The sequence below is a fragment of the Homo sapiens genome, chromosome 2, assembly GCF_000001405.40.
Source record: "Homo sapiens chromosome 2, GRCh38.p14 Primary Assembly".
Lineage (NCBI taxonomy): Eukaryota > Metazoa > Chordata > Mammalia > Primates > Hominidae > Homo > Homo sapiens.
Window position 1 is genome coordinate 231,957,462 of NC_000002.12, and position 25,010 is coordinate 231,982,471.

Below are 25,010 nucleotides of genomic sequence, written 5' to 3' on the forward strand. Positions count from 1 at the left end.
AAAAAAAAAAAAATTTTAAGAGAAAAAAGAATACTATATATAGAAAAAAGAAAATGTATTTTTTAAAAACATTAAGTTTAAATTGAGAGAAGAGCAAAAATAGACTTTAATCAGACCAAAATTGTATGTTGGAATTAGTGGTCTGGATGGGTGTAGTCGTTGCAGTTGAGGACGCCAAAAACAGTAGATATGGGAATGGTGAGACACCTTTTCTATTCACCATGGCGCTCTCAGCCTTGGTGAAGGCCAGGCTCCTGGCACTTTAACATATCCCTCAACAGAACTGGGGCCTCGAAAAGGCCAGCAAATCCTGCTTCACTTTGGTTCTTGGAATGTGTTTGATTCTTAGTTTTTCTTTACCCTTTTTAATAGTCCTTTCATTATCTTTTACTGCCTTTATGATAAAATTATCATGTGAAAGGCAACTAAAATATGTTGAATGAATGTATTCCATCTTATCTCCTTGGAGTTTTGGTGTTTGATTTGGTTATTACACTTTCACACACACACACCCCACCTTTATCACCTTGACTCATCTCTGAGGTTGCAACACTTGTTATTGACCCTGAGTTGCTTGGTTGTTTGCTTCTTTCACTGTCCTTGGTGGCAGTGGAATTGGGTGGGGAGGAGACAATCCTCAGAACCTGCTCAGGGACTGGATTGTTAGGGTGTGGGCGTGGTGATGAGGGAAAGTGGAGTCAGGGATGACCCCATGGTGTCTGCTTTTGTGACTGAGTAGATGTTAGTCCAGAAGGCTGGGTTAGGGGTGGTGGTTGCTAAGAATTCAGGTCAGGCTGGGACTGAGAGGTTCTGGGGCAACCACAGCTGTGTACAAGCCCTAAACTTCCAGAAAGGCTTGGACTTCATAACAGACTGTTATGGACTAAATGTCTGTGTTCTTTCAAAGTTCATATGTTGAAACCCTAATCCCAGTGTGATGGTATTTGGAGGTGGGGGCTTTGGGAAGTACTTGGGTCATGAGAGTGGAGTTCTTACTAATGGGATTAGTGTTCTTCTAAGAAGAGGCCTGTGAGAGGCCAGCTAGCTAGCCTTCTTCCTATCACGTCACAACAGGACAAGAAGGCCATCTATGAACCAGGAAATGGTTCGCCAGAGATGGAATCTGCTAGTGCCTTGATCTTGGACTTCACAGCTTTTAGAACCACGATAAACAAATTTCTGTTGTTCATAAGCCACTCAATCTATGGTATTGTGTTATAGCACTCCTAAAGGACCAAGATAGCCCACTTGACCCATATTTTGGTGTTTCTAAATTCTTCAGCCATACATTTTGAATTTATTGGTTTTCTGACACAGATAACCTGTCACATCTGTTATGGAGAGATCTGTTGTCTTTCAGAGAATATTACTTCTATCTCTTTTCAGGGAGCTTATTGTAATACTTGTTTCAATAGGAACATACTGAAGTAATGGACTGAACGAACATATGCTAGTGGGATAAGCCTCTTGCCGCAAGTCTACTCCAGAGTGTGTTGTGATCTTCCTTTAGCCCACGTGAGGAAGCCAGGGCTCACATCACTTAAGAGGGCACAGTGCGCTGGGCGCTGTGGCTCACGCCTGTAACCCCAGCACTTTGGGAGGCCGAGGTGGGCGGATCACGAGGCCAAGAGATCGAGACCATCCTGGCCAACATGGTGAAACCCCGTCTCTACTAAAAATGCAAAAATTAGCTGGGTGTGGTGGGATGTGCCTCGTGAGCCGAGATTGCACCACTCCACTCCAGCCTGGCGACAGAGTGAGACTTCATCCCCCGACCCCCACAAAAAAAAAAGAGGGCACAGTGATATGTCCACCCTAGCCCTGTAGCCTATACAAAGGCAGGCAGCACACTTTGACAAACGACCAATCAAAATGAGATTTGTCCGTTGAACTTAAGGAAAATAATGGTCTCAGCCCTACTTCCTCTGCTCTTGTCCTTGATTCTCTATTCCTACTTTTAATTATTTTTGGTTTCCTTGGCTTCACCTCCTATTTCTAGTCCTGAAATCTCAGGTTTTCTTTTTATTTTTTTATTTTTTGAGACGGAGTCTTGCTCTGTCTCCCAGGCTGGAGTGCAGTAGCCCGATCTAGGCTCACTGCAACCTCCACCTCCCAGGTTCAAGCAGTTCTCCTGCCTCAGCCTCCCGAGTAGCTGAGGCTACAGGCCCCCACCACCATGCCTGGCTAATTTTTTGTATTTTTAGTAGAGACAGGTTTTCACCATGTTGGCCAGGCTGGTCTCGAACTCCTGACCTCAAGTGATCAGCCCGCCTTGGCCTCCCAAAGTGCTGGGATTATAGTCATGAGCCACTGCATCCGGCCACAGATTTTATTTCAATCCTTTGTTCTCTTCCTCTTCTAGGTCTTCCCCTTCCTGTCCCCACTGGCCCCTCTCCTATCCACTGAATCCCTGGATGCCTGACACCCTCTGCCTCCTGTCCTTGCTGGGTTTCCTCTACCCTCTACATTTCAAAGACAAGTTTTGCTGAAATCACAGTTTTCCTGAGGGTTCTAGAAAGGTCTGTGTGAACATTAAAAAACAAAGGTTCCTTGGGTTCATTTAGTCTTTAAGCAAACATCGATTGAGGCCTGTGTGTGTGGCAGGTACTGCAGATGCAAAGTTTTCCACCTTCATGGAGCTCATAGTTACTAAGGGAAACCCTGAATTTTCTTAGACTACTGCAACGCACTGGCCGGGTGCGGTGACTCACACCTGTAATCCCAGCACTTTGGGACAAGATGGGCGGAAGAGTGAGACCATCCTGGCTAACACGGTGAAACCCCGTCTCTACTAAAAATACAAAAATTAGCCGAGAGTGGTGGCACGCGCCTGTAGTCCCAGCTACTCGGGACTGAGGCAGGAGAACTGCTTGAACCCAGGAGGCGGAGGTTGCAGTGAGCCGAGATCGCACCATTGCACTCCAGCCTGGGCGACAGAGCGATAGTCCGTCTCAAAAAAAAAAAAAAAAAAAAAAAGAGAAATATAGGCACAATTTAATGCATCTCTTTTCCTTTTTCAATATGGAGCATACGGTGGTTCAAGCATCTGTCCACATTGTATTCCCGAAGTTTGATCCCTACCCTGCCCTGCCCTCCCGTCTTTCCTTCCCTCTCTCTTTTTTTTTTTCTGGAGTGCAATGGTGCGATCTCGGCTCACTGCAACCTCCGCCTCCGGGGTTAAAGCGATTCACCAGCCTCAGCCTCCTGAGTAGCTGGGATTACAGGCATGTGCCACCACGTCTGGCTAATTTATTATTTTTAATAGGGACGGGGTTTCTCCATGTTGATCAGGCTGGTCTCGAACTCCCGACCTCAGGTGATCCGCCCGCCTCGGCCTCCCAAAGGGAAGTTTGATTTTTCTATGGTCACCAATGGACACTTGATCTCCATAGCTTGAGAATGGCGGCCATCCCCTCACTGGCATTCTTTCCTCTTGTGCTCTCCCGAACGTTCTGGCTGCTCTTTGGATTTCCTTTTCCTTTGCTCACATCTACAATATTGGTGTTTCCTAGGTCCCGTACTTAACGATTGTTTCCTCTCAACACGCTTCCCTGGGCGGGCTGAACTGTCGGGGGCTTTCTCGGCTGCGCTTCCTCTCTCACCTGAAACCCTCTTCCCAACCCTTTATACTAGGTCGACGTCTCCAACATCAGCTGCTCCCCACCCGTGTCTGGGTGGGCCCCTTGGGCAGGCTCCCCTAGTCTCCTTTCCTTCGATCATCCCCACGTGCAGGACGTCATCTGCTTGCTCTGCCATCAGCCTCACATCCTGAGGGCAGGGACCATGCGGGGGTTGTCCATCTCTGTATCCCCAGTGCCAGCACTGCACCTCGCCCCAAGCAGTTGTCCAATAAATGAGCAGTGAGTAAATGAAAGAATGAGCAAAGCCTTGTAACAGGAAAGGGGCCGGCGGCGTCTGCCGTGCAAGACCTGGCCCAGTGGAGCAGAGCCTGGAGGTTCAGGAGCCGGGTCTGGAAGGCTCCTTCCGGTGGAAGAGGGGCCCGGAGCCAGCCGGCGCCTGGCACAAGGCGTCTCAGAGGCCGCCCACTGGGAGCCAACCGTTGCAGCCAGTTGTCCCCGCGAGCGAGGCCGGAGAAGGCGCGGCGGCCCCTGGCCTGGCCATTTCGCCCTTGTCGCAGCTGAACCGCCGACTACGAGCTCCTGCACCGCGCACACACCCCGCGCGCTTCGCTCTCGGCCTCGCCCGGCCACCGTCGCTCTCTAGAACGCCGCGCCCGTGACCCGGAAGAGCATTCTCCTTAGCAACTGCGGGACTGCGGCGGCGCCGGCCTCCGGGGAGAAACGGTGAGGCCCTCACTCGCCTGCCCCCTGCACCGCCTAGTGCTGCACGACCCCCTCGGGACCGACCCGGGGTCTGGCCTCTGGGGGGCTCCGCGGCGCTTCGCCCGGCACCTGTGGTGGCGGCCCGGGACGAGCGTCTTCCGCCTCTGGCGTTGCTCCCCGGCCCACGCGTCTTCCCTGTCCCGCATCTCCCTCAATGTCCCCAGCTCCCCACTCTCCGCTCCTGACCGACCCGGCCTCCCAGGCCGCGCTTATAGCGCCGGGGCCCTTGTAGCCTAGGATGGCGTGAGGGGAGCGAGACCAGAATTAGAGCCTGTTGCTGTAGAGAGGACGCCTCCCGAGGCTCGGGTCACCTGTGGACGCGTTCTCTAGGGTCTTGATCGAGATGTTCAGGACTGGCAGGGATGGGGAGCCTCGGGAATCTTGAAGGGCAGCCGCTTAATTATAACATGTCCTTGACGTTTGCGCTTTCCACAGTGATACACTTTATCTCCTTTATTGATCATAGAGAGTTTTTTTTTTTAATAAACTTTTAGATATGGGGGATACGCATGCAGGTTAGTCACATGGGTATATTGCACCCAGGTATTGAGCATAGAACCCAGTAGGTAGTTTTTCAACCCACATCCCCCATCTCTCCCCTCCTTCCAGTAGTCTACAGTGTCTACCGTTACCTTTTTTTTTTTTTTTTGAGACGGAGTCTCATTCTGTCGCCCAGGCTGGAGTGCAGTGGCGCGATTCGGCTCACTGCAAGCTCCGCCTCCTGGGTTCATGCCATTCTTCTGCCTCAGCCTCCCGAGTAGCTGGGACTACAGGCGCCCGCCACCCCGCCCGGCTAATTTTTTTGTATTTTTAGTAGAGACGGGGTTTCACCATGTTAGTCAGGATGGTCTCGATCTCTTGACCTCGTGATCCGCCCGCCTTGGCCTCCCAAAGTGCTAGGATTACAGGCGTGAGCCACCGCACCCGGCCGACTGTTCCCATGTTTATGTCCATGTGCGCTCAATGTTTCTACTCCCACTTGTAAGTGTGCTCAATGTTTAGCTCCCACTTATAAGTGAGAACGTGTGGTGTTTAGTTTTCTGTTCTTGTGCTAATTCGTTTAGGATTATGGCCTCCAGCTCCATCTGTGCTGCTGTAAAGGACATGATATCTTCCTTTTTTGTGGCTGCATAGTATTCCATCCTGTACATCCACATTTTTTTTTTCCAGTCCACCATTGATGGTCACCTAGGTTGATTCCGTGTGTTTGCTATTGTGAATAGCTCAGCCGTGAACATACAACTGCATATGTCTTTTTGGTATAATGGTCTGTTTTCCTTTGGTTATATACCCAACAGTGGGATTGCTGGGTGAAATGGTGGCTCTTTAAGTTCTTTGAGAAATCTCCAAACTGCTTTCCACAGTGGCTGAACTAATTTACATTCCCACCAACAGTAGTTTAAATGTTCCCTTTCCAAGGGAGCCTAATGAGGATCTGTTGTTTTTTGACTTTTTGATAATAGCCATTCTGACTGGTGTGAGATGGTATTTCATTGTGGTTTTGATTGGCATTTCTCTGATAATTAGTCATGATCATGTTTTCCATATATTTGTTGGCTGCTTGTATGTCGTGGTTTTTTCTTTTTGTATTTCTTCTGAGAAGTGTTCATGTCCTTTGGCCATTTTTAAAAATGGGCTTATTTGTTTTTTGCTTGTTGATTTAAGTTCCATAGGGATTCTGGATATTGGACCTTTGTCAGATGCATAGTTTGTGAATATTCTCGCCCATTTTGTAGGTTGTCTGTTTAATCTGTTGATAATTTCTTTTGCTGTGCAGAAGCTCTAGTTTAATTAGTTCCAACTTGTCAATTTTTGTTTTTGCTGCAGTTGCTTATGGGGACTTAGCCAAAAATTTGCCAAGGTCAGTGTCAAGAAGTGTATTTCCTGGGTTTTCTTCTAGGATTTTTATAGCTTGAGGTCTTTTATTTTATTTTGAGACAGGGTCTCACTGTCACCCAGGCTGGAGTGCAGTAGCGTGACTGCAGCTCACTGCAGCCTCGATTTCCCAGGCTCAAGTGATCCTCCCACCTCAGCCTCCCGAGTAGCTGAGACTACAGGTGCGCACTACCACGTTCGGCTAATTTTTGTATTTTTTATGGAGATGTGGTTTTTACCATGTTGTCAGGCTGGTCTCTGACTCCTAGGCTCAAAAGATCTGCCTGCCTCAGTTGCCCAAAGTGCTGGAATTACAGGCATGAGCTACTGTGCCTGACTGAGGTCTTTGCATTTAAATCTTTAACCCATTATGTATATCATGAAATATATACAGTTTTATATCTTCTGCATGTGGCTAGTTAGTTATCCCAGCACCATTTATTGAATAGGGAGTCCCTTCTCCATTTGTTTTTTGTCAGTTTGTTGAAGATCATATGGTTGTAGGTGTGTGGCTTTATTTCTGAGTTTTCTGTTCTGTTCCATTGTTCTATAGGTGTGAGACTCATTTAATTGTACATCTTGAACTGATCCTTTTCTGGGGAATTTGCTTCCCAGTTGTGAGTGAGGTGTGGTTAGTATATTCTGTAGCTTAGATTTTTGTGCTTACAAGTTTTCTGCAGAAGGAAATCTTCCCGGGACTGACTAGGTTTGAGGTTTGAGAAATATTTCAAGTGAAATTTGCTACATTGAAGAAAGTAGGAGCAGGTGTTGTTAATAGCATGGACTTACACTTCAGAAGACACTATGGCACTGGAAAACCTCCCCTGATTTGAGTTTGAATGAGCTGTACTAAGAAAACTGTAAGCCTTATTTGAACATGGTTGGATAACGACTTTATTTTTAATCTGATGATGATGGAGCTAAAACTGAGGCGTGTGAACCGTTTTTGGAAATGACATTATTTGGGAATAAAATGTGGGAGTTTCTATATCAAAATTCATTTAAAACTATAATTTCATTCCAATTTAATAACTTTATTAAGCATCTACAGCATTATACACTTTAAAGGATATAAAAGAAAAGTGCACACATGAAATTATTAGGAAAGCAATGAAATGGACATTTGTTTAAATGCAAAATATGTGGTACGGATATTAAGTGCTGTAGTAGGTCAGAGGGTGGAGAAATCATTTCTGGATTAAATGGGACTTGATTTGTCTCTAAAGTACAGATATAATTTGTATTTGTATTGGAGAGGACAGGAAGTCCTAATTCCTTTCCTTATATTCTTAAGAGTTTGGGAAATAGTTCCATGTGGCATTTCGAAGTTCTTATTTAATGCTTTCAGGTCACTTGATTTGTGACCTATTTCTTTCAAATAGTCTTAGTACAAATCTATATGACATTTTTCCTGTTTGACATCTAAAATAGTGAAGTTACTAGCTGAGGGCTTTGCCACTTAGAGTTTCTTTGCTTCTGCATTTGGTGTTAGGTTTATATGAAACACCACAGTTTAAGTAGTTACTGTTTCATTCATGCTCAAGAGTCTTGTGAAATGTTGCTCTTTTTTATTTGACTGGTATTTCTGAAGTGCTTCCTATGTAGCAGCGGTAGTATCAGGAATTACCAAAAACAACTGTTACTTAGCAACCAGTAGGTATGCTTTACATAAGGAGAGTGTGTGTGTTTAGCCTATCAGCCTTTGATGCTCAGCATTTGCCTTGAGACATTGAAGGCCAGAGCAATTTATGTAGACATCTGAATTGACTTTTTTTTTTTTTTTGAGTTTAATGTTTAATAAGGGGACTCAGTTGCTTTGGGCATCCACCAAAGATACATTTGTGAAGATGATCAAACTTTTAAGTCCTCTTAAAAGATGTTTTGTTGCTTTCTTATAGACTTAGTGTTCATTTATTCACTTAATCATCAAATATAATATTTGAGTGCTTACTTGGTACCAGGCACTATGCTTGGCCTTGGAGATGGGGGAGAGTGAATGCACATATGATCTCTGTCCTCAGCAGATGATACTCAAATAATCACACAAATGCAAAACTATGGCTGTGACAAGTGTTTTAGAGAAATCACTGAAATGACATTTTAACTGATGTCTACAAGATGCACAGGAAGAGAACAGTGCTCTAATCAAAGCAGACCCTCTGATGCCACGTCCATGTTGCCCTGGCTGGAGTGCAGTGGTGAGATCACGGCTTACTGTGGCCTCGACCTTCTGGGCTCAGGCGATCCTCCTGCTTCAACCTCCCGAAGTTCTGGGATTATAGATGTAAGCCACCATGCCCAGCCTGTCCTTTTATTTTATCCTTCAAAAAGTTTTTGTTTTACAGAAGGAGTTTCATGAAATGCTATTGAGCATGAGTAAAAGTAAAACTGGGCCTGGAATGAGTGGATAGATCCCTCTGAGGTCTGGCCATCGATACCATTTTTGCTGATGTCAGGGAGTGGAGACTTGACCAGAATTCTTCTTCTTCTTCTTTTTTTTTTTTTTTGAGACAGAGACTTACTCTGTTGCCCAGGCTGGAGTGCAGTGGCACGATCTCAGCTTACTGCAACCTCCGCCTTGTGGGCTGAAGTGATTCTCCAGCCTCAGCCTCGTGAGTAGCTGGGACTACAAGCTCACGCCACCACGCCTGGCTAATTTTTTGTATTTTAAGTAGAGACGGGGTTTCACCATGTTGGCCAGGCTGGTCTCAAACTCCTGACCTCAAGCAATCCACCCGCCTTGCCCTCCCAAAGTGCTGGGATTACAGACGTGAGCCACTGAGCCACTGTGCCTGGCCTTTTTGAGACAGAATCTCACTCTGCTGCCCAGGCTGGAGTGCAGTAGTGTGATCATAGCTCACTGTAACCTTGAACTCCCAGGCTCGAGTGATCTTCCCACCTGAGCCTCTTGAGTAGCTGGGTCTACAGGCATGAGCCACCATGCCCAGCTAGTTAAAAAACATTTTTTTTTTTTTTTTTTTTTTTTTTTTTTTTTTGTGGAGACAGGGTCTTGCTATGTTGCTCAGGCTTGTCTGAAACTCTTGGCCTCAAGTGATCCTCCTGCCTCAGCCTCTCAAATATTGGAGTTACAGGCATGAATCACTGTGCCCATCCCAGAAATCTTGTTGTCTTTATTAAACTGAGAGTGGTGGTAGAATGGCAGAAGATGCTCCTTTTTGTCATGTAACATGAAGTAGAAGGATTTGAAGGGTTTTTCGTATAGAAGGTATTTTATTTGGAACCATAGCAAGAACTTGATGCCTTAGAGTAGTTATTACGTGACCAGTTATGTTGAGGCAAGACTTGATGAAGTTTAGTCAACTGTTAGTCCACCTACTTTTGATTTCTTTCTTGCCCTAATAACAGGCTGCCTCTGGGATGTACTAATGATGACAGATGAGACACTGGTCACACTGGTAGGAAGGGACTTCATGTGGTGCAAAGTACCTTGAAATTATCTCTGATGAAATCATGAGGGGAGAAGGGCTGATGAAGTACCCTGCCCTCAGTAAAGTATTGGTGGAGTGTCTGGTAGACACGGAGAGGTTGTGTGACCCAAACCGGATGAGGCAGGAAGTTATATAATGCTAATTGAAGAATTCTGCATTATAAGTTCCTTTTTGGTCCTCCTCTAATGAAATTGGATTGTTTCTATTTCCCATTAGGCTTTGGTGAGGAGAAGTTTGTGGTGATTATCTAGATGCTGAGGGATTCAGAGAGAAGCCCCAAACATTTCTGTTTAACTTCATTTTTTTAGGGACCAGCTTTCCACATGGGAAATAGTTGCCTTTTTCTCTGATGTCTGCCACTGTTAGCTTTAATCACTTTTAAAAGGTTGAATGCAAAACTCTAGCAACAGTTATACCAAGAAGGAGCTATTATTATTTTTGTTTAATCCTTTTACTTATGGCACAGTATTAAACAAGGTCAGAAATTTACATGTTTCTTTTTAATTTTAGTTAAGTTTTGTAAATGAAAAAAAGAATTGTTCTGAGATTTTTTTGTTGAAATAATGCATTTATTTTCTTTATGTTTCACTGAATTTTTGCCAGTTCAAATCAGTCTTTTATAATAGTTTGCAAGTAAGGATGCCTTATAAGTTTTATGACTGAAATATGTCTTATTAACAAAAAACAATTTTTAATAAATGAATTAGGGCCCAATTTGTGTTGTGTAGGATTATTATTGGTTAAGACCATATTTTTTTGATTTATTTAAAAAATTTATTTGATTGATTTAAGACTGATTTATTGAGGTATAGTTGACAGGTTATAAACTCTAAAGTGTACAGTTTGTTAAGTTTTGACATATGTGTGTACTTGTAAGACTATCATCACAAACAGGACATTGATCATATCTATTATGCCCAAAGCTGTTTTCATACCCCTGGCTCCCTGATCCCTATCCCAGATAACTGATTTTTTTTTTTTTTTTTTGAGACAGAGTCTTGCTCTGTCACCCAGGCTGGAGTGCAGTGGCATGATCTTGGCTCACTGCAAGCTTCGCCTCCCAGGTTCATACCATTCTCCTGCCTCAGTCTCCCCAGTAGCTGGGACTACAGGCACCTGCCACCATGCCCAGCTAATTTTTGTATTTTTAATAGAGACGGGGTTTCATTGTGTTAGCTAGGATGGTCTTGATCTCCTGACCTCGTGATCCGCCCGCCTCGGTCTCCCAAGTGCTGGGATTACAGGCGTGAGCCACTGCGCTTGGCCTAACTGATGTTTTTATCACTGTACATTAACTTTCATTTCCTAGAATTTCCTCTTATTTTATATAAATGGAACCACACAATATGTAGTTATCCTTCTTTCACTCAGCATAATTGAGAGTCATCCCTGTTGTTAAGTGTATTAGTAGCTGATTCCTCTTTATTGCTGAGTAATATTGCATTGTATGGATGTACCTCAGTTTATTAATACATTTACCTACCAATGGACATGTTGGTTGTTTCCAATTTTAGTTATTAACAAATAAGGCTTCTATAAAAATTTTGTTTACAAGGCTTTGTATGGACATATGTTTTTATTCCTCTTGGTTAAATACCTAGGAGTAGAATGGCTGGATCATATAATAGGTATATGCTTAACCTTTAAGAAAACTGTCAATGTTTAGTTATCCGTAAGTATTTCATAGTTTTTGGTGCTATTTGATATGGTTTGGTTTTAGGTCCCCACCCAAATTTCATGTTGAATTGTAATCCCTACGTGTCGAGGGAGGGAAGTAACTGGATTATGGGGCTGGTTTCCCCCATGCTGTTCTTGTAATAGTGAATTCTCACAAGATCTGATGGTTTCATAAATGGTAGTTTTTCCTTTGTTCTCACATGCTCTCTCACTTGCCTGCCGCCGCCGTGTAAGACATGCCTATTTCCTCTTTCACCATGATTATAGTTTCCTGAGTCTTTCCCAGCCGTGTGGAACTGAGTCAATTAACCCTCTTTCCTTTATAAATTACCCAGTCTTGGGTATTTCTATCAGTGTGAGAATGGACTAATACACTATTAAAATTATATTTTTAAAATTTATATTTCTGATTGACACTAGTATATAGAAATATGATTGATTTTTTTACATTAATCTTCTCCATCAATCTGGCTAAGCTCACTTAGTTCTTATTAGTCCTAGACCTTTTTTTTTTTTTTTTTTTGAGTTGGAGTCTCGTTCTATTGCCCAGGTAGGAGTGCAGTGGCGCAATCTTGGCTCACTGCAACCTCTACCTCCCAGGTTCAAGCAATTCTTCTGCCTCAGCCTCCTGAGTAGCTGGGATTACAGGTGTGTGCCACCACGCCCGGCTAATTTTTGTATTTTCAGTCGAGACGGGGTTTCACCATGTTGGCCAGGCCAGCGTCAAACTCCTGATCTCAAATGATCTGTCCGCCTCAGCCTCCCAAAGTGCTGGGATTACAGGCGTGAACCACTGCGCCTGGCGTCCTAGAGCTTTTTAATAGATTCCATTGGATTTTCTATGTAAAGATTATGTCATCTGTGAATACAGTTTTAATTCTTCCTTTCCAGGCTTTTATTTCTTTTTCTTATTGCACTGGCTGCAATCCCCAAGTAACAATGTTAAATAGAGATGGTGAGAGCAGATTACTTGTCTTGTTTCTTCTCTTAGGGAGAAAGCATTTAGTCTTTCACCATTTGTATATGCATTTTATCACTGGAGAAGTTTTCTTCTATTTCTAGTTTACTGAGATTTTTTTTTTTTTCGAGAGTGAACATTGGGTTTTGTTAAGTGCTTTTTCTGAATCTACTGTGATGATCATATGATTTTTTTTTTTCGAGACAGGGTCTTGCTCTGTTTTCCAGGCTGGACTGCAGTGGCATGACTGTGGTTCACAGTAGCCTTGACCTCTGGGGCTCAAGCAGTCCTCCTACCTTAGCCTCCCAAGTAGCTGGGACCACATACTACACCTGGCTGATTTTTTTTTGTTTGTTTGTTTTTTAGTAGAGATGAGGTCTTGTTATGTGGTCGAGGCTGGCCTTGAACTCCTGAGCACAAGCAGTCCTCCCACTGTCACCTCTTAAAGTGTTGGGATTACAGGTGTGAGCCACTGCACCCAGCCACTTTTCATTTGTTAATATGGTGAAATATCGCATCGATTTTCAAATACAGCCATTTGTTGCCTAACAATGGAGATGCATTCTGAGAAATGCATTGTTAGGTAATTTTGTTGTGCAAACCTCATAGAGTGTACTTTCACAAATCTAGATGTTGTAGCCTACTACACACCTAGGCTATATGGTAAAGCCTGTGGCGCTTAGGCTACAAAACTGTACAGCATGTGACTGCATTTAATACCATAGGCAATTGTAATAGAATGCTAAGTATTTATGTATCTAGATGTATCTATACATAGAAAAGGTACAGTAAAAATACAATATAAAAGATAAAAAAATGGTACACCTGTATAGGGCATTGACCATGAATGGAAGTTGCAGGCTTGGAAGTTGCTCGGGTGAGTCAGTGAGTGAGTGGTGAATGAGTGTGAAGGCCGAGGACATTACTGTGCACTACTGTCGACTTTACAAACACAGTACACTTAAGCTATACTGAATTTATAGAAAACATTTTTTCTTTCTTCAATAATAAATTAACCTTAGCTTACTGTGACTTTTTTTACTTTATAAACTTTAATTTTTTATATTTTGATTCTTATAATAATACTTAGCTTAAAACACAAACACATTGTACAGCTGTACAAAAATACTCTATGTCCTTATTCTATAAACTTTTTTCTATTTATTACTTTTTAAAATTTTTTGTTAAAAACTAAGACACAAACACACACGTTAGCCTAGGCCTACATAGAGTCAGGTTCATCAGTATCACTCTCTTCCACCTTGACATCTTGTCCTGCTGAAAAGTCTTCAGGGGCAGTACATGCATGGAGCTGTCATCTCCAGTAACAGTGCCTTCTTCTGGATACCTCCTGAGGGACCTGCTTGAGGCTGTTTTATAGTTAACATTTTACAGTTAAATTACTTATTTGATTTCCAAATTGTACTTTAGGTTTGGAGGTGCGTGTACAGGTTTGTTACATGGGTAAATTGTGTGTTGTCGGGGTTTGGTGTACAGTTTATTTTGTCATTTTTTTTTTTTTGAGACAGAGTCTCAGTCTTTCGCCAGGCTGGAGTGCAGTGGCGCGATCTGGCTCACTGCAACTTCTGCCTGCAACCTCTGCCTCCCGGGTTCAAGTGATTCTCCTGCTTTAGCCTCCCGAGTAGCTGGGACTACAGGTGTGTGCCACCACGCCCAGCTCATTGTTTGTTTGTTTGTTTTTTGAACGGAGTCTCGCACTCTCGCCCAGGCTGGAGTGCAGTGGCGCCATCTCGGCTCACTGCAAGCTCCGCCTCCCAGGTTCACGCCATTCTCCTGCCTCAGCCTCCTGAGTAGCTGGGACTACAGGCGCCCGCCACCACCCCTGGCTAATTTTGTGTATTTTTAGTAGAGACGGGTTTCACCGTGTTAGCCAGGATGGTCTCGATCTCCTGACCTTGTGATCCGCCTGCCTTGGCCTCCCAAAGTGCTGGGATTACAGGCGTGAGCCACCGCACCCTGCCCAGTTTTTGTATTTTTAGTAGAGACGGGGTTTCACCGTGTTGGCCCAGGATGGTCTCAAACTCCAGACCTCGTGATCTGCCTGCCTCCGCCTCCCAAAGTGCTGGGATTACAGGTGTGAGCCACCACGCCCGGCCCATCTTTTTTAAATAAGTAGGAGTGGCCAGGCACGGTGGCTCACGCCTGTAATCCCAGCACTTTGGGAGGCCGAGGCGGATGGATCACAAGGTCAAGAGATTGAGACCATCCTGGCCAACATGGTGAAACCCTGTCTCTACTAGGAATACAAAAATTAGCAGGGCGTGGTGGTGTGCACCTGTAATCCCAGCTACTCAGGAGGCTGTGGCAGGAGAATTGCTTGAACCTGGGAGGCGGAGGTTGCAGTGAGCCGAGATCGCGCCACTGCACCCCAGCTTGGCTACAGAGCGAGACTCGGTCTCAAAAAATAAAAAAATAAAAAATAAATAAAAATAAAAAATAGGAGTATACTCTAAAATAATGATAAAAGTATGGTAAATACATAAAGCAGTAACATAGCCACTTATTATCAAGTATTGCATACTGTATGTAATTGTATCTGCCATACTTTTATATGAGACTGGCACCACAGTAGACTCGTTTACACCAGCATCAACACAAACACATGACTAGTGGGTTGTGCTACACTGTTGGGATGGCTGTACTGTCACCAGGTGTTAGGAATTTTTCAGCTTCCCTATAATCTTATGGGACTGCCATAGCATATATGTCTGTCATTGACTGAAATGTCGTTATGGAATGCATGACTGTATTAAAAGTAACCTTTCTTTTTTCTTTTTGAGATGGAATCTTGCTCTGTCACCCAGGCTGGAGTGCAGTGGTGCAATCTCAGCTCACTGCAACCTTTGCCTCCTGGGTTCAAGCGATTCTCCTGCCTCAGCCTCCCGAGTAGCTGGAACTACAGGTGTGTGCCACCAGGCCTGGCTAATTTTTCTGTTTTTAGTAGAGATGAGGTTTTACCATGTTGCCCAAGCTGGTCTCAAACTCCTGAGCTCAGGTGATCTGCCCACCTCGGCCTCTCAAAGTGCTGGGATTACAGGTGTGCACCACCATGCCTGGTCCTAAAAGTAACCTTTCATTCCTGGGATAAACCCCACTTGATTCTGCCATATTCTTATTCTATTTATATATTGTTGCAATTGATTTCCTAAAATCTGGTTTAAAAAATTTGCATTTCTGTTTATGAATGATACTGGTTTGAACTGTGTTTTGTAATATCTTTGTTTTTGATATCAGGGTAACGCTGGAAACCTTGAATGAATTGGAAAATGTTCCTTTTCTTCGGTTTTCTGGAACAGTTTGCATAGAACTGGTATAGTTTCCTTAAATGTTCAGTGGAATTTACCAGTGAATCCATCTGGTCTCAAGTTTTCTTTGTAGAAAAGTTTTTAACTGCAAATTCAATTCCTTTTTGCCATATAAGGCTATTAAAGTTATCTATTACTTGAACGAACTTAACACACTTTTCAGAAGATCCGTATGTATATATTTACATGTTTATACACACACACACACACGTATATATTTTTGTAGAAGCCTTGAAAGAAAGAGAGAATCAAACAAAATACATAGAAACAAATGAGCTGGACATACAGATAAAGCTGTGATTCACCCAGAACTTAAACAAATCACAAATTTCATAGTTTAATATTGGGACAGAAGCAAAACAACAAACAAATAATACATTTTCCCACTTCAGTAATAAAATATGGGAAGACCTGACTATGAGGGTAGAGATCAAGGCTAAATAAAGCTTTATTTATTTACATTAAAATATAATTTTATTTTTATAGAGACAGGGTCTCACTGTGTTGCCCAGGCTGGTTTTGAACTCCTTCAGCTCAAGGGATCCTCCTGCGTAGACCTCCCAAAGTGTTGGGATTACAGGTGTGAGCCACCACACCCAGCCAAAAGCTTTAAATCATTGGTGATTATTACAAGCTGCAACTCGGGCTACATATGTTACTGGGAGCTGATTACTCCTATATCTCACTGCAGCATAGAGTTTAGTTATGGCTTTTCCCCACAATATTGTGAGTTTAATGTGGAGAACTGTGAAGAAAAACAAAAGAAACCCCAACTAATAATTACAACAACTATAACAACAACCACAATAATAATAATTAATAATAAACCCCTAAGGGATGTATGAGCTGGTTTTAATTAAGTAGACTAAGAGATACTGGTTCTGACTTGCATTCATCTCTACAGTAAATAAAACCTTGTTTTTAAAAAGCTTCCCATGTTCCTAATACAGTTAAAAAAATATATATATATACTTTAACCTTTTTCCTTTCATATGCAAAGATGTTACTTTTCATTATCTCAAGAATATCTTCCTTTGAAGTCTGTGAGGGTGGATTTCAGCCACCAGAAATTGGTGAAGTGGGGGACAAGGGGGTGTGCTTGTCTCTGTGTGCACAAGTCTAAGTAAAAGAGGAGCACATAGGGGCCAAAAAGGGACAGGGGAGGGAAGCTGGAGCAGAAGGACACCTCCCTAGGGGAAGGCAGGAGGCTCTAAGTAGTGGAGCAAAAACATGGGTCCCTGGCAGCAGACTGGCTGGAATAGCCTCAAGGTCTCAGCTGTCAATTTTTTTTTCAGTCTTTTTTCCTTCTTTGTTTCATTTTGGATAATTTCTCTTGCTACATCTTGAAGTTCCTAATTTTTTTTTTCTGTGGTGTCTAATCTGTTGTCCCATTCAGTGTATTTTTCATCTCAGTTGACATGGTTTTTATCTCTAGAAGTTTAATTTGGATCTTTTTTTTTTTTTTTAATATCCCAGGTCTCTTAACATAGCCAGTCTTTAGCTTCTTGAACATATGGAATACAATTCTTTTTTAAAAAAATTTTTTTACATAGCTGTCTCCTCAAACATGTAAGGTATATGTATTTATTTACTTAGAAATGCTGGGATTTGGAGATGTTAGAATCAATAATGCTTATATTTCTTGATTGTAAATGCTATCAGAACATAAAGCTATTCAAATTATAAGTGATAAAAGGATGTATTATAATCTTCTGATCTCTTAGGCTAATAGAATAAACAAATCATCTCTTAAAAATACAGTAAAGTGATATAGTATTCAGAGAAGTAATTACTAATGTTATTTATTTAGAAAACATATATGCCCTTCAGACTATTGTATCCGTTTGGTTGCTTTCCTTTTATAAAGGAAAGTCTTCAATACAATACAATAATTATTGAAAAATGAGTAGTTTTATCGTTTGTCTCACCATAATTTAACAAATACTTGGGTATAGAGTTGAACTGGTTTATCTACTGTTTACACTTTTGAACGGCATTCAATTAAGGTTAGTTTTAGTAAAGATCTTAGAATCTCAGATGGGACTTTTCAGCTTTAGGAAATTGGAATGTGTCCCTGGACTATGCCCATGCCAGAGTGCCAAGCTAAAAGAATGTAGGAAACCTCTGACCAGGCCCTTCAGGGGACTCTGTGCAAAATAATGAGGTCACTAGCATGAAGAGCTCTGGACTCTGAGGCAGTTGGAACAGGATTCTATAATTTCTTTCCAATATTATTATTATATATTATATCTCTTTGAGGCTAAGAATCCAGGGAAGGGAAAGCAGAAATGGGGTTGCTCAACTGAGAGGTTAAAAAAAAGATGAGGGATGGGCCGGGCACCATGGCTCACGCCTGTAATCCCAGCACTTTGGGAGGCTGAGACAGGCGGATCACGAGGTCCGGAGATTGAGACCATCCTGGCTAACATGGTGAAACTCCATCTCTACTAAAAAAATGCAAAAAAGTTAGCCAGGCGTGGTGGCAGGCACCTGTAGTCCCAGCTACTTGGGAGGCTGAGACAGGAGAATGGCGTGAACCCAGGACGCAGAGCTTGCAGTGAGCTGAGATTGCGCCACTGCACTGCAGCCTGGGCGACAGAGCGAGACTCCGCCTCAAAAAAAAAAAAAAAAAAAAAAAAGATGAGGGATGAAGGACCAGAAGTTAGAAGAAGGAAGAGCAGTCTTGCAAGCTTGAGGGAGTGAGGAGAGGGATGTGGTTAGAGAAAGAAAGCTCCCTTAGAGGCCCTGGAGGTAATGCTTTTCTGGAATACAATTCTAATAACTATTACTTTCCTGTTCTTTATTCTCACTTATTTCTATGTTCTCATTCCCAGTCCTCCTTCTTCTTCTCTCTCTCTCTTACTCTCTTTTTCTCTCCTCTTTCTCTCTTAGACATACACACACATACACACACACACACCCCTGTTTAAGAAGTAAATGTGAATATGGAAAGCAGATGAGAAGGGAGGTTGGATTGAATTGTGGAGTATTTATTTCAGTTTTTATTTCAATAGTTTTAGGGGTACAAGAGGCTTTCTTTACATGGATGAATTGCATAGTGGCGAAGTGTTGGCTTTTAGTGTACCCATCACCCCTATAGTGTACATTACAACTCTTTTCTATTTAACTACTGTATGCTTCTGATCCAGGGAAGGTATCTTTTAAAATTTCCTTTAATTCCCTAATACAGATCCTTCTTGACTTCTGATGGCGTTGCATTCCAATAAACCCATCATAAGTTGAAAATGTCATAGATTGGGCCAGGCACGGTAGCTCACGCCTGTAATCCTAACACTTTGGGAGGCTGAGGCGGGCAGATTGCTTGAGCTCAGGAGTTCGAGACCAACCTCGGTAACGTGAAACCTGTTTCTACCAAAAATACAAAAAATTAGCTGGGTATATGGTGGTGCGTGCCTATAGTCCCAGCTACTTGGGGGGCTGTGGTGGGAGGATCACTGGAGCCTGGGAGGTGGAGGTTGTAGTGAGCTGAAATCTCACCCCTGTACTCCAGCCTGGGTAACAAAGCGAGACCCTCTCTCAAAAAAAAAAAAAAATTACAAATTGAAAATGATTGTAATACACCTACTGAACATCATAGCTTAGCTTAGCTTACCTTAAATGTGTTCAGAACACTTATGTTAGCCTAAAGTTTGGCAAAATCATTTAACACGAAGCCTTTTTTTTTTTTTTTTTTTTGAGACAGAGTCTCGCTCTGTTGCCCAGGCTGGAGTACAGTGGCGCGATCTTGGCTCACTGCAGGCTCCGCCTCCCGGGTTGATGCCATTCTCCCGCCTCAGCCTCCCGAGTAGCTGGGACAGCAGGTGCCCGCCACCACGCCCAGCTAATTTTTTGTATTTTTAGTAGAGATGGGGTTTCACCATGTTAGCCAGGATGGTCTCTATCTCCTGACCTCGTGATCCGCCCGCCTCAGCCTCCCACGCCTGGGATTACGGGTGTGAGCCACCGCGCCCGGCCACACAAAGTCTTTTTTATAATAAAGTGTTGAATACCTCATGTAACTTATTAAATACTGCACTGAAAGTGAAAAACTGGTCATGGGGTCCTTGAAGTACAATTTTACTGAATGAATATAGCTTTTGCACCATTGTAAAGTTGAAAAATTGTAAGTTGAACCATCATAAGTTGAGGACCGTCTGTCTGTACAATCTTATATATAATTAATTCAGAGGTTTATTGATTGATTGATAACATTTTCATGCTGTAGCACCCTTAGTTCTACTTTATTAGCACTTGTGATTGTATTGTTTATTGTATAAGAAGTCTTAAATCCTGTGTTCATAAAATTCCTTCCAAAGAAGTCAGCATACTTCATGCTAATTAATTTATTGATTGTCTCAGCCTTTGGCTTTTACCATACCCAAAGAGTATCCCACTTCCTCAGGCATCCAGGATCCTGCCTCAGCTTAAGGGTCATTGTGTGATCTTGTACTGTGCTAATGAAAGGAACACTCAGATTATAGTATTGTGGGCAGAGCCCAGGCCTGATTCTCGGGGACTTCGAAACTTCTGGCCAGTAGGAAGGAATACATGTGACACTGTCCTTGAACTCAAAACTACCCACCACATGTAGAATTTGCTCTGACACTGCAAATACTCAATTGGACTCAGTGTAATATTTGTATCTCAAAGGAATTGAAAGCTGAGATTTCAAATGGGTTTCATGGAATTTTGATCAGTTAGAAAATAATTAATGGAAAACTATCTAGCTGTTAAAATTGTCTCATTCTTCTTGCAGTGCTTTTAATTGTGTTACACATGTTTTTTGTTTTTATTCTTGAGTTCTGGTCTGAAGTGATTGTCAGTGGTTTGTGTTTGATCAGAAGATCCATTGCCCTTTCTTGTATCCCTGCCCTACCTCCATGAGTCTCCTTGTGATACAACTTCAGAAGAAAAGATGAAAATCGAGGTTTTTGTTAACTCCTAGAAGGTGATAGAAGGACATGATAGAACCTGGCAGATTTTCAGTGGAAAAGATTGAGTCTAGAATTAAAAGACTATGTATGTTTTTATATGCATTCTATAGTCTTATTTGTTGGTAATTGAAAAGTTACAAAGTAATGTATGCAAAATATGTGTAAGGTATATAGAATAGCAGGACAATGAATACCCAATGTACACAACCACCAGATTAAGAAAACAAAATTATCGTTGCCATTGAAGATCTCCGTGCCTTTCTCCTTTCTGAGGTAATCTGAATTTTGTGTTTTCTTTATACTTGAACCACATAGTTTGTATCCCTAAACTGTGGTTTAATTTTACATGTTTTTGACACTAATCAAATGGAATCACAGTGCAGATATTTTTATGTGATTTGCTTTTTTCCCATAGCGTCAAATGTGTTTGTTTTGGTCAGATTTTGCAAATAATCGTGGGCTGCTTCCACATAGACGTATAAGTTTATTTTGTAGTAATTTTCCTTATTCATCTCAGAGAATATGATTTATATGTTTCGGTCTTGTGGAAGTAAAAGAGAATGATTTCCTAGTGGATAAAAAGAAACCAGTCTCCTTTAAGGCATTCTGTCTCCATGCACTCCACCATCCTCACTCTGGAACCCATTGCAGAGGAGCTCTTCAAGGGGGTGTTAGCTTTTTCCTCTTTTACCTCGCCTTGGGCAGGCTGAGACACCTCCTGCTCCTCAAATAGGTGTGGCCCAGTGCTTCTTTACCTTGTGTATAAGAATCACCAGGGGAGGGGAGCTTTAAGAATATTCACACCTGTGTGCAAACACTGACCAATTAAATTAGAATGTCTCCTTTACATACAATTAAATTAGAATATTTCTTTTACCTGTTTTTACATTTAAAATTTCAATTTTGTTTTAATGGAGTTGCTTCTTTCATATTGATTGTAGGTCTTTACATATTCTGTATATTAATCCTTGGACTCCTATGTGTTAGAAATATTTTCTCCTAGTCAATTGATTTGTCTTTATGATTCCTTTTGGCTTACAGAAGTTTTTGATTTTTAAAATTTGAGACTTCATCATTATGACATCTGTATTTTGCGTCTTAACTAAGAAGACTTTCTTTACTCCTAGGTTTTAAGCTATTTTTCCTATGTTCTTACTGTATTTATAATTTTACTTCCAACATTTAGCACTTTAAGCCACCTACAGTTTATTTTATTTATTTATTTTTATTTAATTTATTTTTTTATTTTGAAACAGGGTCTCACTCTGTCACCCAGGCTGGAGTGTAGTAGCATGATCTCAGCTCACTGCAGCCTTGACCTCCTGGGCTCAGGTGATCCCCTCCCATCTCAGCCTCCCGAGTAGCTAGGTCTACAGGCATTCACCACCATGCCCGGCTAATTTTTGTATTTTTTGTAGAGATGGGGTTTCACCATGTTGCCCAGGCTGGTCTTGAATTCTTGGGCTCAAGCAGTCCACCTGCCTTGGCCTCCCAAGGCCACTGTGCCAGGCCTGAAGGTTATTTATTTATTTATTTAGGGACGGAGTCAGGTATTTATTTATTTATTTATTTTGTGACAGAGACTTGCCCTATTGCCAGGCTGGAGTGCAGTGGTGTGATCTCGGCTCACTGCAACCTCTGCCTCCTGGGTTCAAGCGATTCTCCTGCCTCAGCCTCCTGAGTAGCTGGGATTACAGGCACCTGCCACCACACCCAGCTACTTTTTGTATTTTTAGAAGAGATGGAGTTTCACCATGTTGGCCAGGATGGTCTCAATCTCCTGACCTTGTGATCCACCCACCTCGGCCTCCCAAAGTGCTGGGATTACAGTCGTGAGCCACTGCGCCCGGCCTATTTTTTATGTGTAGTAAGAATCTAACTTTTCTTCAAACAGATAGCCAGGTGTGCTATTACCATTTGAGTGGTTCTCTCTCCTAGTGATTTGAAATACTTTTAAAATAATTTCCCTAAGGTCTGTTTCTAGACTCTCTGTTTCCTTCTAATGATGTCTTTGCCAATTTCCAGTTGAATATCATAATCTTTTAATTACTAGTGTGTCATAGGATGTTTTTCAATTTGATAGAGCAGGTCTTTTCTCGTTACTCTTTTGCAAACATTTCTCATCTATTTTGGGCATTCTTCTATTAGATCTTAAAAATTACTTTTTATCAATGTGAAATTCACATCACATAATGTTAGTCATTTTAAAGGAAACAATTTAGTGAGTGTGACTGGTAGTACTTCTTGTGGTTTTGATTTACATTTTCCTAATGTCTGATGATGTTGAGCATCTTTCCATAAGCTCATTGGCTGTAATTATATCTTCTTTGGAGAAATGCCTGTTCAGATCCTTTCCCATTTTTTTTCATTTGATTTTTAAGATAAGCTTGTTAGGCTGGGCGCAGTGGCTCATGCCTGTAATCCCAGTGCTTTGGGAGGCTGAGGCGGGCAGATAATGAGGTCAGGAGTTTGAGACCAGCCTGGCCAATATGGTGAAACCCCATCTCTATTAAAAATACAAAAAATCAGCTGGGCGTGGTGGCATGCACCTGTATTCCCAGCTACTTGGGAGGCTGAGGCAGGAGAATCACTTGAACCCAGGAGGTGGAGGTTGCAGTAAGCCGAAATTGTGCCATTGCACTCCAACCTGGGTGACAGAGCAAGACTCCGTCTCGAGAGAGAGAGAAAAAAAAAAGATAAGCTTGTTAATTTCTATTAAAAGGTCATGATTGGAATTTGTGATCACATTGACTTTTTCAACTCATTTTTAATGGACCTCTTTATAGTATTGAGTCTTTTTTGATCAAAAGCAGGGTTTATTTGTTTAGGTCCCTTTTATGTTTTCAGGTGATCCTCTTACTTCAGCCTCCTGAATAGCTGGGACCACAGGCATGTGCCACCACGCCTGGCTAATTTTTAAATTTTTTTAAATTTTAATTTTTGAGACAAAGTCTCTGTTGCTCAGGCTGGAGTGCAGTGGTGCGATCTCGGCTCACTGCAACCTCTGCCTCTCAGGTTCAAGTGATTCTTATGTCTCAGCCTCCTGAGTAGCTGGGATTACAGGCATGCACCACCATGCCTGGCTAATTTTTGTATTTTTATTAGAGATGGGGTTTCTCCATGTTGGGCAGGCTAGTCTTGAAATCCTGACCTCAAGTGATCTGCCTACCTTGGCCTCCCAAAGATCTGGGATTATAGGCGTGAACCACTGTGGCCAGCCTTCCTTCATGTTTTTAAAAATAATTTTAAAATTCAAATTAGATTTCACACCCTACTAGCTTGTGATTTTGGTTGCTACTTAGAATTGATCTTTTTTTCTCCTTGCATTTTCAAATTTATCATTGTTGGCATATAGGCATGTTATCAATAATATAATTTGTGAGTATGTCATTTTAGATGTTCTAGATAGTCATTTTATCTGTAAATAATAAACACATAGTCTCTTTTCCAATATTTATTCCTCTTCCTTTTCTGATTATGTTGGCTAGGGCTGCTCCAGCTTAGTGTTGAGTTGTAGGTGGTATCTCCTCCTAACTGTAATGGGAATGTCAGTAATGTTATACTGTTAAGTATTTTATATATATATATATATATATATATATATATATATATATGAGACATATTTACATATTATATATCATATTTATATATAAATAAGTTAACATATGTTTATTTTAATTAAGTGCTTATTAAGTGTCCTTTTTTTTAGATGTTTAATACTAATTGGTGGCCAGGCGTGGTGGCTCATGCCTGTAATGCCAGCATTTTGGGAGGCTGAGGTGGGTGGATTGCTTGAGTCCAGGAGTTCAAGACCAGCCTGGGCAACATGGAGAAACTCCGTCTCTACTAAAAACACAAAAATTAGCTGGGCATCATGGTGCGTGCCTGTAATCCCAGCTACTCGGGAGGCTGAGGCATGAGAATCGCTTGAACCTGGGAGGCTGAGGTTGTGGAGCTGAGATTGTGCCACTGCACTCCAGTGTGGGTGACAGAAGTGAGGCTCTCTCTCAAAAAGAAAAAAAAAAAAGAAATACTAGTTGGTGATAAATTTTGTCATATTCTTTTTTGGACATTTGTTAAGTTCACCTCCCCCTATTGCTATATAGTGAGTTATATTTAATAGATAGACTCTTATAGGATATACTTGCTTGAGTGTGTAATCTTCAATATATTGTGGGGATTCATGTTGTTAATATTTTATTTAGGATTTTTGCATCTATGTTCATAAATGAGATTGGCCTGTATTCTTTGCTTTCCTTACTTGGCTTTGCAATCTAGAATACACTTACTTACAGCATGGTAGCGGGTTTTTCATCTTAGTCTGTGCTTTGGAATAGTTTACCTAACATGGGAAGCAAGATATTATATTTGTCTTTACATTTGTTTATGATGTATTATATATTCAATACTTACGTATTTCATCTTTCTGCAGTTAAATCTTTCAATCT

General features: G+C 41.9%; 1 protein-coding gene across 5 annotated transcripts in view, besides 2 other annotated features; it reads left to right on the forward strand.

Annotated features, from left to right (window-relative positions):
* Nucleotides 4,130-4,219: an enhancer, noted in NCBI's record as "active region_17318". NCBI's record gives its function as "activates an Ori minimal core promoter by ATAC-STARR-seq in GM12878 lymphoblastoid cells {active_cell/tissue: GM12878}" and the evidence as "EXISTENCE:reporter gene assay evidence [ECO:0000049][PMID:35858748]".
* DIS3L2 (DIS3 like 3'-5' exoribonuclease 2) overlaps nt 4,252-25,010 on the forward strand; it is a 382,638-nt gene continuing 361,879 nt past the window's right edge. For all 5 annotated transcript variants that reach the window (NR_046477.2, NR_046476.2, NM_001257281.2 and 2 more), the window contains exon 1: nt 4,252-4,304. The gene's annotated coding sequence lies outside the window, so the exon portion shown is untranslated. The remainder of the gene's footprint in view (nt 4,305-25,010) is intronic.
* Nucleotides 4,350-4,509: a silencer, noted in NCBI's record as "silent region_12454". NCBI's record gives its function as "represses an Ori minimal core promoter by ATAC-STARR-seq in GM12878 lymphoblastoid cells {active_cell/tissue: GM12878}" and the evidence as "EXISTENCE:reporter gene assay evidence [ECO:0000049][PMID:35858748]".